Source organism: Homo sapiens, chromosome 7 (genome assembly GCF_000001405.40).
Source record: "Homo sapiens chromosome 7, GRCh38.p14 Primary Assembly".
Classification (NCBI taxonomy): domain Eukaryota; kingdom Metazoa; phylum Chordata; class Mammalia; order Primates; family Hominidae; genus Homo; species Homo sapiens.
This window is the reverse complement of record NC_000007.14, coordinates 16,552,929-16,571,281: the sequence shown is the minus strand read 5'-3', so window position 1 is coordinate 16,571,281 and position 18,353 is coordinate 16,552,929. Positions and strand designations below refer to the sequence as shown.

Below are 18,353 nucleotides of genomic sequence, written 5' to 3'. Positions count from 1 at the left end.
TCCCTCACGGCCTGAACAAATTTTTCAGGTTAACTTGGAATGCTCTTGGCCAAGAGGAAGGGTCATTCAGATGATTGACGGGCCTTAGAATTCCATTTTTGTTTTACACTCTGAAAGCCACTGCCTTACACTATGCTCCTCTGCACCTACAACATGTCCTATGGATGTTACTTTCATTCTATGGGAAATACTAGGAATAAAGGAACAAATCGAATGACACCTTAAGGAAGTAATTTAAAATTGAGGCATTCTACAGTATAACTGGCCTGTTCTCTTCAAAAAGTCATGGAAGAAAAAAAAAAAAACAGAAACAAAAACCAGGGAATCTCTTCTAAATTAAAAGACACTGAAGAGCATAAAAAATCTAATTGTGAATCTTGACTAGATTCTGGTTTGAAAAAGCACTGTAGAAACCTTTTTGGAACAATTGAGAAAATGTGAATATGGGTTTTTTGTTTGTTTGTTTGTTTTGAGAGAGGGTCTCGTTCTGTTGGAGTGCAGTGGTGTGATCTTGGCTCACTGCAACCTCCACCTCCTGGGTTCAAGCGATTCTCATACCTCAGCCTCCTGAGTAGCTGGGATTACAGGTGCTCGCCACCAAACCCAGCTAATTTTTGTATTTTTTGGTAGAGATGGGGTTTTGTCATGTTGGCCAGGCTGGTCTCAAACTCCTGACCTCAGGTGATCCGCCCACCTAGCCCTCCCAAAGTGCTGGGATTACAGGTATGAGCCACCACGCCTGGCGAGTTATATTTTAAGTAATATAAACAAACCAGTTTTTTTCTAAGGTGTGAGAGTGACATTATGGTTAACAGGAAAATGTCCTTATTTTTAAACTTTCAGTCTAAATTATTTAAAAGTGTGAAAGTTGCAGATACCAGGATGAAATCACTCTTGTCAGAATCAAACAAATTGGAGCCAGAAGGCAGTAAGGAGAGCTCATGCTTGCATGTCTGATAAGACCTGTCTCAAGGGCATTCCAAAATAACCCCCACAATACATTATTTTGTGTCCTGCACACAACTCATGTTTGTCATAACCTACATTTCTCATGTATGCACACATTTCTATGACCAAGTTTATCACTATACATTCTTTAGGACTCAACAATTCAGATAAGATCCTCTCAAAAGAACATTTGCCTAGTAACAGAATCTCCACCAATGAACTCGTAGCTTTGGGCCTCTGGAATCAATGAACTGTGCTTCCAAGAGGCTTATGTGAATTCTTTTTTTTTTTTCTTTTCTTTTTTGAGAAGGAATCTCCCTCTGTTGCCCAGGCTGGAGTGCAATGGCGTGATCTCGGCTCGCTGCAACCTCCACCTCCCAGGTGCAAGCGATTCTCCTGCCTCAGCCTCCTAAGTAGCTGGAATTACAGGTGCCATCACTGCACCCAGATAATTTTTGCATTTTTAATAGAGACTGGGTTTTGCCATGTTGTCCAGGCTGGTCTCAAACTCCTGACCTCAAATGATCTGCCTGCCTCGGCCTCCCAAAGTGCTGGGATTACAGGCTTGAGCCACCACGCCTGGCCACTTTTTCCCAAATAAAAAGCTTCCTTCCCTTCCCTTCCCTTCCTCTCTTGCACCTGTGGCTTGCCATAGCTGTGCATCCTGGGTTATAATTCTTTTTGCTTACTCCCAAATAAATTCATTATCTTAAGAGATATTTTTCTCTGATGTCTTTTTTTAGGTTGACAGGAGTGAAATGTAATGATGTCTGCTGCTGAAACATTTTAATCCTTTGGCAATACATTGATTTTCCAATTTACACTGTAGTTGGAAATGCCAAATGCAGTGTAAGTCATTCATTTAGGAATGACTTCTAAGGTCTTCTGAGGAGACCTGTCCTTGTTTTTTTGTTTTTTAAGATGGAGTTTCGCTCTTGTTGCCCAGGCTAGAGTGCAATGGCTCACTGCAACCTCCGCCTCCCAGGTTCAAGTGATTCTCCTGCCTCAGCTTCCTGAGTAGCTGGGATTACAGGCATGTGCCACCATGCCTGGCTAATTTTTGTTTTTAGTAGAGATGGGGTTTCTTCATGTTGGTCAGGCTGGTCTTAAACTCCCGACCTCAGGTGATCTGCCCGCCTCGGCCTCCCAAAGTGCTGGGATTACAGGTGTGAACCACCGCACCTGGCCACCTGTCCTTAAATAAAGAGGCAAAGCGTCAGATATGGAGGGCGGTAAATATAGCAGAATATGAACACTTGTTGAATATATGTGGGCATATACCAATATTTATTTTAATATTCTTTAACTTTTCCTGTTAGAAAATTTTCACAATAAAAAGTTCAGGGAAGTCTTAATTTTGTCCTCATTCTTCTTTTTCTTTTCCTTTACCTTTCGCTCATTCTTGAATAATAATTGAGTTGGTTATAAAATTCTTGGTTGGCCATTACTTGTCCTCAGCATTTTAAAAACTTTCGATCACTGTTTTTTGACTTCCACGATTGTAGTTGGAGAGTCTGTTGTGAATCTCTGTGTTATTCTTTTGTAGGTCATCTGGGTTTTCTCTCCGACTGCTTTAAGATGGTTTTGCCTTTGGTGAAGACTCTTGTTGTTGTTGTTGTTGTTATGTGTCTTTTTTGTGTTTGGATTCATTTTGTCTGGTGCATCTAAGAATTCTTTGCCAATTCTGGTAATTGTCTGGTCAGTCTAAGAATTTATTTATCAGTTTGGGAAAATTTCCAGCCATTATCACTTTAAACATTACCTTCTGCTCAATTTCTATCTATAATTTGTTTTTCAGGAACTATTACTGAAGTTATATTGGACCTTCTCTTTCTAATGTCTCTCCTTTTCTCAATATCTAATTCATATCTTCTATTGCTTTCTTTCTCCATTTAGCATTCTGGGTAATTTCTTCCAAACTATTTTTTAATTCAATTTCCCCTTTATTTCTAGATAATTGGTTTGGTTTTTTAAAAATGTATGTTGTCTCTTTGGCGAAGTGTCATAAAGAAAAGGATTTTACCTTTGCACCTTTTCTTATCCACCCTCTCTTCCTTCGTGGAATGGAGATGTGAGGCTTGGGGGTACACCAGCCACCTTGTAATCATAAAGCACACTAAGAGTAGCAGAACAAAAGACAGATATATCCTTGAACAGTGACAACATTGTAGAACTTTATGCTAACCCTAGATACCCTATCTTTCTATTCTTTGCTGTCTGAGAAAACTAAACCCCTATTTTTTTTTGCATTTCTGTTACAAATATGAAATTAAATTCCTACAAATGAAACATCCTGAAAATATTCAAGTTATACTTGCATATAATGACCCTGTATGTGAGTATAATCAAAATATTACCAGTGCTTATTTCTGCATGGTAGAATTGCAGATGATCTTTATTTCTTCTTCATGTTTTTTCTATATTATCAAAAATTATATAGACTTAATTGGTAAAATCATCCATGTTAGTGGTAATAAAAATAACAATGGCTTATTTATTGAGCCCTTTATACTGTGTTAGGTACTGGGATAGAGGCTTCAATGTATTATCTCGTTATTATCACAGCACCCCATTTAATTTCACATGCATGAGTGAGGATGAAAATTGCATACCTACTTTAACTGGACTAAAAGTATTATAAGGTTAGCAAATATATTAGAAATTATTCCATTACATAGATACTTAAGTTTATTGTAAATTGTAGTTGTTATTATTACAATCAAATTACCCAAAAGTTTGAGGAGTTTTAATTTCATTAAATTTGTTTTTTTTTTTTTTTTTACGAAATACCTGAAGGTACTCTCTGGGCTGGTTTTTGCTTAAATGGTGATTTAGGATCCCATGAAGCATCCACTTTTCCTCCGAATGCTATTGATTGAACGATATGAGCCTTTTTATGGTTAAAAATGGTAATCATTGATCTTCTTTCTTTTTCTGTAACTTCTGATAAATGCAAAAAGTAATGTTATTGCATAACATTATAAATAGGCGGAGTGATTCAAAATAGAACTGAACACTTTCAAGAATGTATTTATCTAAACTATGATATATGAGAACATCCTGTCAAAACTGTTTTGTAAAGGGGCTATCACGCTTATTTCCATAATCTTACAAGCACTCAATATACACCCCACATGTCACAAGACAGAGCTTAATCCTTCAATCTAATGCATCCCAAACACCCTTTAACACATCACCAAGGATGATTAAAATTTTAGCATGAAACATCCTTTCATTTCCTCAAGGCTATTAGAAAGGAGAGGTATAACCATAAGTTTCCGATGTATCCTATAGAAAGTGGTTACTCAGTAATAAACTATTAAGAATGTTCAAACCTGCAGAGACAGAAAGGTAAGTAGATAGATAATATAGCATTTGGGGGCAAAATAGGCCTCAAAAAATGTTAAGTGTAATATGCTGAGGTTGATTGTGTGTGTGTGTGCATGTGGCTTATAGAAATCTGACATGCTATCTTGAAGATGTATTCATAAAGAAGTCATCATTCATTGTATGTTTCAATATATATATATTTACAGAATTTTTAAATCACGACTTTTAGAACTTAAACTGGCCTTATGAGATTTATTCCAATTCCCTCACTTTTGAGATAAGAAACTAAGGTGCCAGGAAGTAAACGATTTGGCATCCAACCTGTTAATGTCAAAACCAGGACCAGAAGGAATACTTTCCTCAGCTCAGTTAGAGGGCCTTTCTAATAAAGTAGTAAAGAGACATGAATTTCTAAATTAGGGCAAATTTTAGAGAGCAAGTCTTTCAAAAATAAATAATTGAAAAACTTCCATTAAAAAGACAATTATTCAAAGATATATTTTTTACAAAGACATATTTTCAAAGGTAGTCTTCGTTTTTAAACCGCTGAGCTATAAGACTACTTCTCAAATATTTCTTTGCAAGAAGGAAGGGTCCTTACGATTTCGGTCAAGCAGCTCCACTCCTGGAAGGTGGTAGATGATATATAAACGATACAGGTTATATTGGCACAAAGGATTTTGGTATAGACCTGCAAATGAAGAATCCAAAATAAAAATGTCAGATTTCAAAATCAGTTTCACTTATCACTTATAAAATACAAAAAATTAAGAGATTCGTATAAAACATAAGAACTTGTAAAGCTCTTCTCCATATCAAGCAATAGACCCATTAAACCTTTACTTAGAGCACCAGTTAATTTTTCTATCTGTTAAATTCATTCATTCAACAAATATTTACCAAGTGCTTACTATCCACTAGGAACTGTGCTAAGGGCTATGATCAAATCATTGACCCAAGTCTGCAACAAATGAGGGAAATTTTTAACATGTCCATAAATAAGTTAGTAAATGAAGAACTAGATATCAGCTCTATTGGAGTCTTGAGGCTACTTTTTATTAAAATATCACTTGGTACTCTTCTTTCAGTCTCCAAGTTCACAAGGGTGCATGTGTGAAGATAGGCAGAGACACAACACCCGGCTCTAATAGAACTTACTTCCTCCACACCATTGCTCATAGTTCAGAATGTGTCAATAGTAGCTTCAGATCTCAGCAGGACCAGAGCTGAGCAGAAGTGGCTCTTGCATCTTGTCTACCTCTGGCCAGGCACGTGCAGTTCTGAGATCCTGGTGTGCAGGTGCTAGGATGTGTGATAAACCGCACTTCCTAATGCAGTGGTTGGAAGAAGGGGGCATGTGGATGCAGAAGCAGCCCTGGCACTTTTGACATCATATCCCTTGGGAATCAGCACATAGTTATGTTTTTAAACATCCTCAACTAGAAGTTGTGAGGGCTTTATTTTTAAAAAAAGATATTTTCCCTATTCATCCTAGATGATAATAAACATATTTTTTCAATACAATGTGAAATAAAACTTTAATGATTTTCAGTTGGGCATTTTTTTTTTTTTTTGACAGAGTCTTGTTCTTGTTGCCAGGCTGGAGCGCAATGGCATGATCTTGCTCACTGCAACCTCTGCCTCCCGGGTTCAAGCAATTGTCCTGATTCAGCCTCCTGAGTAGCTGGGATTACAGGCGCCTGCCACCACGCTTGGCTAATTTTTGTATTTTTAGTAGAGACGGAGTTTCGCCATGTTGGCAAGGCTGGTCTCGAACTGCTGACCTCGTGATCCGCCCACCTTGGCCTCCCAAAATACAGGCATCAGCCACCGCACCTGGCCAGTAATCTTTAGTTATTCGGATTCCACCTACCTACATGCAATTTCTAGGAAATTCTTCTGAAAATACACCTAATAAGGAGAACCACTAGATGGCAGTAGTAGAAAGAGCTCCAGCTACCGCACAACTCCTTCACTCAATAAAATGAAGCTCACTTAATGTACATGTGAAATTTAAGAGTACTGTTGTAGACTATTCATAAAATACAGGTTTGATAAAGGCATGAAAATAGTAAGCATTAGAAACTCGGAAAAAACTGATTAATATTTCTAAAGAGCAGTTTGTAACATAAAGAAGATTGGGGTAGGTGCATGCTTAAAAGATAACAAGCTAGATAAAAACTAAAAAAAAAAAATCAATCATCTGGATGTTTTCTCTGTAGTAATAAAGCATTCTGATATTTGTTGTATAAACACAACTTTTTCTGGCTAATAAAAGCGTTATATATAGCTATTCCCTGTGGAAAACGCGAGCTTTAGAGGGACATAAAGCAGGCAATGGAAGACACCTGGTACATAATAAACAAAAGTTACAGGAGTGAGGAAAGGCATACAGGAAAATGTAGAGCCAGGAGCCACAAAGAAATTTAAAAGAAAGGAAATATGTAAGTAATGGAGAAAATGAGAAGAAAAATAAAACTTTTTTTTTTTCAAGATTTCTTAAATGACAGAAAATGGTCTGAATTTTATTCTTGAAAGAGAAGGATTTTAAAGTGGTAACAAATAATTATAACTGCAGGACAGGGAATAGAACAGATGTATATTAAACCACTAATAAAAGAGCCATTGGGATCATGAATTGTAGTTCGAGCCAGAGAAAGTAAAGAAAAGGACCCTCTTCAAGGATATAAAAGCAAAACACAATTGTTTCTAATGAGAACTCAGAAGGAAGAAAAAGTCACAGATGCTTTAGTACAGAAGTCTGCTTTGTGGTTACTGTCTTGGGGAATCACATCTGACACCTCATAACCCTGTTATACATTATAGCATCTGGAAGTAGAGTCTGCCTTTACATATGACGTTAATGGAAAATATACCAACATCTTTCAATGACGTTTTCTCTAGGTGTACCCTTCGTCTTCTCTTTCCCCTCTGAGGACATTACTATCCATTTCATTTCATTTCTTGGGTTTTTCTGCTAATCCTTGGTTAAGTAACTTCTATATGGAAATTTAAAAACTAGCTTCAGCTGAATAAAACACCAAACTTGGATTTACTACTGTTACATTACTTATTAGCAACATATTGATACTAAAAACTCTATGGACTTGTGGTTGACCATTCATCTCATCCTAAAGTAAAAACTGAATGACACGAAATCAGAAAACTGAACTGTTAGCCCATCCTCTGCTTAAATTAACTTTAAAAATTGAGTTAAATAACTTGACAGGCATTTCATCATTATTATTCACTGTTTCCTATCTCTTAAATTTTAGAAGAAGCAATCATATTTTTAACTCTATTTTTTCCTTCTATACTATTAAACATTTAACATTTTGGATTTATGAGTTTTGGATTGATGCTGCTAAAATCAACATAAATTAAATGTCTAAGATGTGAAATCAGTTTCCTGTTTCTGAATGTTCTGAAAGCCTTCTATGATGTATGGGCACATTCTTTTAGAAACCATGAAGAGAAATTGCTTACACTTTCACTTTCAATAGGTTAATACTATTTAATCCACCTTCCCTCTAGGCTACTTACAGAGTATACCTCAGTGGCGCCAGCACTGTCTTGCTTATCTTAATTTGGGATTCTGAGTCTAAGCAATTTACATTTACCCAATGATATATCAAAATGTCTCTACTACCTTACCGCACAAGCTTGGCTTACAGGAGTCACGTGTATGAAGCTACTTATTATCGAGACAGAAGAGGAAAAAAAAAAGCCATCTAAATAATTGGCTCCAGTTATTTTTTTGTAAACTTTTAAAGCAGAATTTAAAATCATTATTTAAATGAACCCCAATGTTTTTAAGGCTGCCTTCGAAGAAAGTTGATGTAATTAATAAGAGACCAACATCCCAATTTTAATATATGGGAAAAAGAAAATGACATGGAGAAGTTAAAAGCCTATAGAGAACGGCCTGTGGAAGGAAGTTCAGCTGTCAATAATCAGATAGGAGGATTGTGAGGCTCCGGGTCAAGGTTACTTAGTAAGGTCAGCATCTCCATTGTTAATCACCATCTTGTTTTAACTAAAAATCTGGTGGCCACCACACACCATGTGCTTTTTACTGAATATGGAAATCACCCCTGATTGTAAAAGGCAAACTACGATAAAGCAGAGGATCGAGAGAGGAGGGATCAGAATATCCTCTTTTTCAGGACAAACAGTGGTGAAAAACACTGTTGGTTCTTTTCCTTTGGTGAATTGTTTTGTCTTTTGGGAGGGGTGGTCCCACCTGGAAGGGCATTATAGGAAAAGAGGCTCAAAGGAAGGGACCCTGGAGATCCTAGTCCCTCCCCGTATCCCAGAATCCCTCTGCTCCCCTGGCTTTTTGCCATGGGCAGTGGATTGGGGCCACTGCTGAAGACAACGGCAGGAAGTGTTTAAAGGCAATACCTGTGGAAACATGGAGACCCTCTCTCGAAAGGAGGAACTCCCTGTTCCCAAGGCTGATTCCTGGAAGCTCCGGTAGGAAGCAGGTCTTAACAATTATGGCATGCAGGAGTCTTAAGCATACTTTCCAACAGTGGAGTTTAATAAAACAGAAAATTAGAAAGAAACGAGAAAACTGAAGGTTTAGAACAGGAGAGTGGATTAAGCATTTTGTTGCTGCGGCTTTTGGTGGCGGTGGTTTTTTTCCCTTAGTACTGGAAAGGGGGCAGGAGTTAATAAAAGCCATCAGCCACAAAGTGGGTCTTTGACACATGTGGATTCTGATTTAGAAAGAGTTTGGAGGAGGGAAGGGAAGAGGAAAACTGAGCTAGAAAGAGAGGGTGTGGAAAGGTAGACTGCCTAGAGAGAAGAGGTGGGGCCCCCTGACTCTGCCTGAAGACAGGAATTCCAGTTCCCAGGACCTCACACTCTGCAGCTGGTTTAGGCCTCCCTGAAGCTCTCAGCCATGCGTCTCCTAGGCAGTCCTTGGCAATTCTCCTCATAAATGCCAATGGAAGGTGCGATGCTGAGAATGGATTAGCGTTTTGCCCTTCAGGCTATTTTCTCACCCTCTGAAGAACTTGTAATTTAAGTGGAATAATAACACTTTATAATTTTATATGGATTTACAACTTAAAAAGACAAAAATGACTACATTTGAAAATACATAGAGTTCTCATTTTAGTTTATCAGCTAAAGCTAATCTGTGATTGCAAATGAGGCTCATAGAAACTTAATCTGAGGACATGACTGCACAAATAACGTTAGTTGTCTAATAAATACAAACTATTTTTCATACAATATCTTTAACCAAAATGGAACATGAGTTCAAAATGTGAATTTTTAGAAAATGCTTTTTGTTTTTTGTAATTGGACATAGCATTTTCTCCATTTCAAACAAATGACCCCACAACAAGATTCTCAACTGGAAAGTTATAGTTATGTAACTTGAAATACGTCACTGTGATTTTAAGTAGTGGTCGTAAACTATTGTGACTGGTAATGATATGGACATTGTACTACCAGGCTGGTATTTAAAAACTAGAAAATTCCCACTCCTCATGCCTGGCACAATTCTACACTCACATACACCCTTGACAAGCAGGGCATGGGCTGGATTTCAGGATCCATTCAGTCCTGGGCTGGGCACCTTTGTTTAGGGTATAACCTTATTTATTACTATGGGCATAACTCTGTTTATTACTGTGGGAGTAAGCTTGTTTACCACTCTCCAAATGTTGTTTTATAACAAGTTTCCTTAAATTATAGAGTTTTTAAAGTAGCAAATTAAATCATTTTGCATTAGACCCCTTCGACTCTAAGAAATATTTAGGCTGAGTGTTACTAATTTGTAAGCCCTATATAGGTATAGACTGGGTCTTTCTTGTTCAAATTTGAGTCCTATTATCTAGAATAGTGTCATGTAGTGAATGTGTGATAAACATTTATTAAATGAATGAATGAATAGATTATAAATATTTATTGAATGAATGAATAAATAAATGATAAGTAAAACAAGGCATGAGTTTATGTTTCAACACTCCTTAGGAGTTTGGTTAAATCTCTGAGCTTTTCATTTCCATGATTAAAGGGAGTAATTCTAATCACATCATAGGATGCTGTAAAGATTTAAATGCGACTATAATAAATCATTTTTTTAACAGGAAAGACATTCAAACATATTACTATATGATTATTATTTAAAATATCGTTTTATTGAGTCTATTAGCAGAATTTCGAGACTGGATGCAATTTATTTCATTATCTGATTTACATAATCCACAATAAAACAATTTTTTTCTTTTTTTAGAATTTCAATTTTTGTTGTTGCTTCAAAATAACATTAATGGTGAGAAACGTTTTCTTAAAAAAAAAAAACAGAGTTATCTTAATGTTTGAAGCAACCCTGAGAGGTAGCTATCAGCCCATTTTATAGAAAAACAAAGGTAAGTGTTCTAGGTCTAGCATAACTAGTCTTTTAATTATAGCAGCATTTTTCCAGCAGACAGGGGCCAGGTGACTCAAATATGCAGGCCAATTCTTTCACAGAAGATCCAAAAGCTGTGAAAAAAACTCCTGACAGCAGGCAGCCTTCTCACGTCTCCAAAATAAGCATAAAATTGCCATGAACTTGGTGTAATTTTGTGATTTTAATACTTGGGTTTAAAGAATCTAACTATAACAAATGAATCATTTTCCCTCAGTACAGTAGATATAACTGATAACACTAACAATATATGGAAACCTTAGTAACTCTCTGTACATTTATCTGATTAGAACTTTCACCATCAATACTAGCTTACAACTGTTCAAAACACTGTCTCAGGCAATTCTGAGAAATGAATAGAAAAGGAATTAAAAAATATATCTATTGCGTTACATTATTATAAAGAGGTCTCTAAACTCTAAAGTCTGAAAACCTACTCGTTGATCTGTAGGTCTTTTACCTCAGTACACCCAGAATCCTTTATCTTGTATTGTGGTTGTATACATGTTTATTTACCCTTCAAGACCATAAGTTTATTGAGAGTAGGAGTGGTGTATTATTTATTTATTTTTGACTCATCTCACACTTCTTTCCAATAGGTTAGTTCCTTACTGGGTGTGATTCAATATATATGAATAAAGTTTGCTGGGCCTCCAGTTGAAAGCTTAAAAAGTCTTTTAGTTTTTTTTTTTTGGTATCAGCTTTATTAATATACTTTATGTATCACACTGTTCACCCAGCTTAAACATATGATTTGTGTGTTTGTGGTTTATTCACAAAGTTATGCAACTTATCACCACAGTCAATTTTAGTATGTTTTATCACCCCCAAAATAACCCCACACCCTTTACTCTCTAGCTGTCACAACTCCCAGTTCCTTGGCCGTTGGCAACACTCATCTATTTAAAAACAGTTACCTCTCGGTGTTGCTGTCCCTATAGATGTGCCTACTTGGACACTTACATAAATGGAATCATATGTGTTAAAACTTACTTTTGAGATAAAACCAAAAACAAATTTAAACATGTAAATCCTCTTGCTACTTTTGTCATTTTCATTAGCCATGTGATAGATAGCATTTCACAAACAAAAATTTTTCTATCTGTTGTTTTTTCAAAAGCGTATCTTAAAAGACAATAAGATCTAGCCTTATTTTCAGGAATATCTAATTTTTTTTTTTTCTGAGACAGGGTCTTGCTCTGTTACCCAGGATAGAGTCCAGTGGCGCGATCTTGGCTCACTGCAACCTCTGCCTCCTGGGTTCAAGTGATCCTCCCGCCTCAGCCTCTCAAGTAGCTGGGATTACAGGCATACGCCACCAGGCCTGGCTAATTTTTGTATTTTTGGTAGAGGCAGGGTTTTGCCATGTTGCTCAGGCTGGTGTTGAACTCCTGGGCTCAAGTGATCCGCCCACCTCAGCCTGCCTAAGCACTGAGATTACAGGCGTGAGTCACAGTGCCCAGCCTAAATATCTTAATTATAAACATTGCCTCTCTAATTTTAAACTTGATAAATGGAAAAATGTCTTATGTTAATACTATTTTAACTTATGGCCATATAAAATTGCAAATTGTTACTTAGGATCTTCAGATTTAGCATTCCCTTTAATTCCTTCACTGTTGCATCAATGTTGGTTAGCTCATTGTGGTGTAGCAGGAGTATATGCAATGAAGGCAAATAATGCAGACCTAAAAAAAACAGAATATTTTTACAAGATTTTAAACATTTTTTTCAGTTTATTTTTTTATTGCAAATAAAAATAAACATTTTTAATGCTAATTAACATGCTAACTAAAAAGGAAAACATATGATAGCTGGTTAAAGAAGGAATAACTATTAATAATATATTATAAATTATTATTAAGAATACAATAAGGCATAATTCATATAATTAATTGTGATGTGGGAATAAAGAGTAAATTTCTTTCCACTGTCATTGTTTTCCTTTTTTTTATTTTTATTTTTTGAGATGGAGTTTCACTCTTGTTGCCCAGGCTGGAGTGCAATGGCACAATCTCGGGTCACTGTAACCTCCGCCTCCTGGGTTCAAGGGATTCTCCTGCCTCAGCCTCCCACGTAGCTGAGATTACAGGCGTCCACCACCATGCCCAGCTCATTTTTGTATTTTTAGTAGAGACGGGGGTTTCACCATGTTGGCCAGGCTGGTCTCGAACTCCCGACCTCAGGTGATCTGCCCGCCTAGGCCTCCCAAACTGCTGGGATTACAGGCATGAGCCACCGCGCCCGGCCTGTTTTACTTTTTAAAATGTAGCAATGATTTTGTTTGTTTGATTGATTTTGGAGGGGTTATTTTCTTCTTTTTGTTTGGTTTTAGTTTTGGGGTTTTTTTTCCTTGTCAATGCTACTTAGATTTATAATGCTAGTCAAGGGAAAAATTACTCATCTCCTCCAAATTGCATAGCTAAGTATTTTCTGTACATAACTGGAAGCCAAATATTCAAATCATTTTCATAGATTGTAAATTGTATATTTTCCCACATTTTTAACATAAATGAAAGTGGGATGTGCCTTTTGATAGCCATGTCGTAGCCTCGTTGGCAAGATGTTCTTTCTTAGCGGTGCATGACATCATGATGGGCCTTAAAATTTAAGACATTTTGATTCTATGATATATGATATTAAAGAAAAGTGTTTTGTACTGTGCTTCTTTGTATTTCATGATCATGGTATGCCACATGCTTTTATAACTGGCTTGAAATGATCAGTTTTGAGAGTGTTTTGCATATAAAATTAATTCAGGGTCAAAGCAGGAATTTGGCTGGTAGAACATATAGCCAATAAAAAATTTTAAGACTATTTATAAAGTTTTTGTATTTATCAATGCTCCCAACTATTGTTAAAATTTGCTTCCACATGCCTAGTTTATGTCTAAAATACCTGTTAAAATTATTTTACATTTTGAATAAGATATATGGCAATATTAAATTAGAAAAGTAATCTAATAGCACATTTCTTAATATCAAATGTACATTAAAACATTTAAAAAATACATTTCTTAATATATTTTCAACAGAAATGTTAAAACAGATTTTTGTCTGTCATTAGCAATTACCATAGTTGAAAGTTATTACTTAATTGAAAATTTATTAAATCAACAGAGAATTTAAGACGTACCTTCTATCTCAAATATTGCATTGTTGTTTAGATATAGTTCTGTCAGACAATAGTTTCTAGTTAGAAATGTTATTCCATGGAGCTAAAAATGAGAGTTAGAGAACAATATACTTTCTATAATAACTGTATATATTACATCAATATAAATAACCTGATATACATAAATAATATATATTTAATTATAATAAGATAATAAAAGTTTGACCTCTGCTATTCTTATTTGTGACCTTTTGGTCTGGCTGTAAGTTACATTTGGATTGTCTTTGAGGAGAATGTGATGAAAAGAATATTTTTATCTAACTTAAACCTCTCTTACCACATCTCAACCAAACTTGCTTGCTAGGCTTTCCAAACCTCTGTAACCTGGCCTAGCCCTTTTGCGCTGACAATATTTCTTCTACTTCTGCTCCATACACTCTCACTAGATCCAGCACCACATATCCACCACCTAATATTATCATGTGCCAAGGGCTCTCCCCTTAGATTATGCCGAGGCCATTTCTGCATCTGTAGGAGTCATGATTTCCCTTTGCCTGTATGTCTTTTCTTCTTGGTACACTCGAAATTATTTTTAAGGATTAGCTGTCGGCCAGCAAGGCATACTAAACCGTGCATGAGTGGCCTGCCGCAGTACGTTTTCACTTGCAGAAATCTGTTGAAACCAAGGGTTGAACTCCTTGTATCTTACTACTTACTGTCTTTTTGCCCTATTGACCCACTTTTTGTTTCTCTAAACTTCTACCTGCTTCAGCACTTTGAGTCAGATTTCCTGGACTCTTTCTTTATGGCCTCATGTATAACCATCTCCTCTTCTCTAGTCCTCTGCCCTTCTAGTAAACAGATCTCAGTTTAGCCATGGGCTCTGTAATCTGAATACACACAGGAGGCAGCTCTGCCAGATCAGGCGCAGTGCTAACAGCTCAACCAGTCACCATCTGCAATTAGAGGGCAAGGCACAGTATAATCCTGTTCATCATTCAGAGTTCATCCTTTTTCACAAAGCCTTTCCTGACAACTCCTATGCTCGTGAACCTCCATTTTCTTGACCATCCCAAATGCTTACTTTGACTTGTACAGTTAATCACTTGAACACTAGAGTTTTGGGTGTTCCTTAAGGAAAGGAACCATGTTTCTTCAGCACCTTATCCTTTCTACCTCCCTACTCTCCTAACAATATAGTGAAGAAGTCGCATCTTACTTTTAAGGTTAGAATCAAAATTCCATATGAATGGAAATAATAAAAAGTACTTTCTCGAATTTCCTCAAATGAACCATTAGGTACTGTATACATAATATGGGGTATTCAATGCTAAACTGTATGTCAGAAATCATTCTGGTACCCTGTAAGGAGAACGCCTATTTTTTTTTTTTAGTATTGACTCTATAACATCCATCAAATTTAAAAGATGTATTTGCATTGTGAAGTTGAGACATGGTAGAGCCATAGAGGAGGAGCAGTTATGTTCTAATAACTGCAAATAAGTTAAATGTAAGAATAATACCTTTACTATTTAACACAGGATCTAGCAGGGAAAAGATTCTCATGAACGAGTTATTGATCAAGTATTTAGTACTTTATGTATACAAGAATATATGTTCCTGACTGTAAATTCTTTGTTTGTGTGTTTTCTAAAGCTTATCATAGGAACTATTAATTTTTTTTTTTTGAGATGGAGTCTCTGTCACCCAGGCTGGAGTGCAGTGGCACGATCTCAGCTCACTGCAACCTCTGCCTCCTGGGTTCTAGGTTCAAGTGATTCTCCCACCTCAGCCTCCCAAGTAGCTGGGACTACAGGCACATGCCGCCATAGCCAGCTAATTTTTTATTTTTAGTAGAGATGGGGTTTCACTATGTTGGCCACGCTGGTCTTGAACTCCTGACCTCAGCTGATCCACCCGCCTTGGCCTCCCGAATTGCTGGGATTATAGGCGTGAGCCACCATGTCCGGCCAGGAACTATTATTATTAGTTAAATAAAAATATTTTGCTCATTGATGAACAGATTCAGAAAAAGGATCCCAACCCATCTGACTTAGTGAGGATTTATTGGACATTTTATTCATGCCCCTCTCAAATCTCAGAAAAGCCTTTTTAGATTTGTATTCGAAGTTTGAAAATTAACTTCTTTGATGAAATTTCTTTACTTTGTTTTTATATTGGCAACATTCACAAATTATGAAGCTATAAAAGGCATATCATGTGCTGTTCATCTGATCGTTCACAGACTCATCTCCACCAAATTATGCCAGCACTCCTCCTGGAAGACCATTAGTAATTTCACCAAATGTTTTGTTATGTCATGAGAGAAGCCGTGTTTCCCCAAGATAGGAGAAACCATTCAAAGCCAGAAGGTGAGTGTCCCTGTTGGCTCCTTATCACTTTCGAACTTTTCCCACTGGCCTCCTGGCAGCAATTCGCTGCCTTCTGTTCTTCCTCTCACCACTCCCTGCTTTAATAATAGCCACACTTGACATCAGCGTAGGAAAACAATGCCAGTGGAAATCAGAACTTTTTCCTCTCTCTTCTTCCAGTTACCTGCCAACCACACATTAATAGAACTCATTAGCTGAGACTTTAATTTCTCTTGCGTTGCTCATTAAAACAAGAAGAACACTAACAAACCTGACAGTTTGACCTTGATTATAGAATCATGGTTTTCCCACGAGCATTAACATCCTTGGACCATGATCATAGGGATTATAGGATTGCGGTGTTTGTGAAGGTAAGGGGGAGTGAAGGGAGATGGAGTGGAGTCAAAGCCAAATCATGAGGACCTTGGGGAGCTATTAAAAGATCTTGTTTAGAAGAATGTTATTGCCCAATTAGATTTTAGAAAGAAAATGGCCGATTTACAGGGGATATTAAATACAATGGCAGAAGATGAATAAGGAGGGCGTTTCCCTAAATCAGAAGAATTTGTGGTGGCCCAAAGTAGAGTAAAGGTTGCAGGAGAAGAAAGAAGTGGAGGAAATTGAGGTAGTATTTCAAGGTAGAATTCAATAGACATTGCAAGATAGCAAGTTGTTAAGGTCAGGAACATTATAAGATATGCTATTGTCCTGATACTCAGCTATTATTAAAATAAAATGCTATTTATTTATTTATTTATTTTGAGATGGAGTCTCACTCTGTCACCCAGGCTGGAGTGCAATGGTGCAATCTCTGCTCACTGCAACCTCCACCTCCCGGGTTCAAGCGATTCTCCTGCCTCAGCCTCCCGAGTAGCTGGGATTACAGGCGTGTGCCACCGCACCCAGCTACTTTTTGTATTTTTAGTAGAGATGGGGGTTTCCCCATGTTGGCCAGGCTGGTCTCGAACCCCTGACCTCAGATAATCTGCCCGCTTCGGCCTCCCGAAGTGCTGGGATTACAGGTGTGAGCCACCGCACCTGGCCGTAAAATGTTATTATTATTATCCATTTAGAGAAATCTATATTACTGATTCCCAGGATTGCTGTAGGATTTATATTAAGTGTGGCATTTCACAAATCATATGTCTTAGCTTAGGCTTGGAGCATAACAAGTGCTCAATAGATGACTATTATTTAACCATTATTATTAATTTTATGGAGCTGGGAGCTTTTATATTTAATGTAAAATACATACAGGTAATCACTAGGGTACTACTAGGTACAAATGTATACCACCATGAATTTAAAATTAAGGAAGAATTCAGGGTTTCTTAATCTCTACAACAACCACATATATGGGACCAAATAATTATTCGTTGGAGTTGATGGGGCAGGGGCTACCCTGGGGGTTGTACATTAGCATCCTTGGCTTCTTACTCAGTAGATGCTAGTAGCATACACGTCCCAATCAGAAATGTCTCTAGACATTGTGAAATGCCCCCTGGGAGGCAAAAACACTCTCAGTTGAGAAATGCTGATTTAGATGCAAGAGAAGAAAATATATTGATTAAGTGCTTATTATGAGCTGGGCATTAAGCTAGATGTTTTCACAGACACTATACAATATAATCCCAACAAAAGCCCAATGTTATTTATTTGACCCCCATATCCCCAGTTTACCTAGGAGAAAACCAAGGCTCAGAGAAGTTAAACAACTTTCTCGAGATCCAGAGATCATAAGTAGTAGCAGAGTGAACATTCAAACCCAAGTCTATCTGACTCCCAAACCAAAGATTGGCAGATATTACATCATAACTGAGCTCTTTAATTTGGGGAGACTTCTGTCTAAACCATCCAGAAGTTACTAATTTGAAAATATTTTGCAGTATATTAGTTTATTAGATTGAGCACTGGAAAATATTCGATGCATCAATTTATTCCTAGTATTTCAACAATAGCCCCAAAAGGTGTCTAAAATGCATCCAAAAATTTTGACCAGAAATGGAAAGAAGAAGAAATGTAATAATCTCTGAAAACTTTCAAATTGTAAAAATAAACAGAATGTAGCCTTACTAATCTTTACTATAAACTCATTAGGAAGGAGCATATTATTATCTTATTTTAAGATGATGAAACTGAGGCACAGAAAGGTTAAGTAATTT

The 18,353-nt window shown here is 36.8% G+C and overlaps 1 protein-coding gene across 2 annotated transcripts in view; it reads right to left on the bottom strand.

The window, feature by feature from the left end:
- LRRC72 (leucine rich repeat containing 72) overlaps positions 1-18,353 on the bottom strand; it is a 54,744-nt gene that overhangs the window by 10,287 nt on the left and 26,104 nt on the right. The window contains exons 4-8 of one of the 2 annotated variants that reach the window (XM_011515057.2): positions 13,841-13,922; positions 12,283-12,393; positions 4,880-4,969; positions 3,739-3,891; positions 2,972-3,064 (exon numbers count right to left, since the gene is read on the bottom strand). In XM_011515057.2, the coding sequence (XP_011513359.1) occupies positions 2,972-3,064; positions 3,739-3,891; positions 4,880-4,969; positions 12,283-12,393; positions 13,841-13,922 (529 nt within the window). The remainder of the gene's footprint in view (positions 1-2,971; positions 3,065-3,738; positions 3,892-4,879; positions 4,970-12,282; positions 12,394-13,840; positions 13,923-18,353) is intronic. The other variant, NM_001195280.2, reaches the window with a different exon arrangement.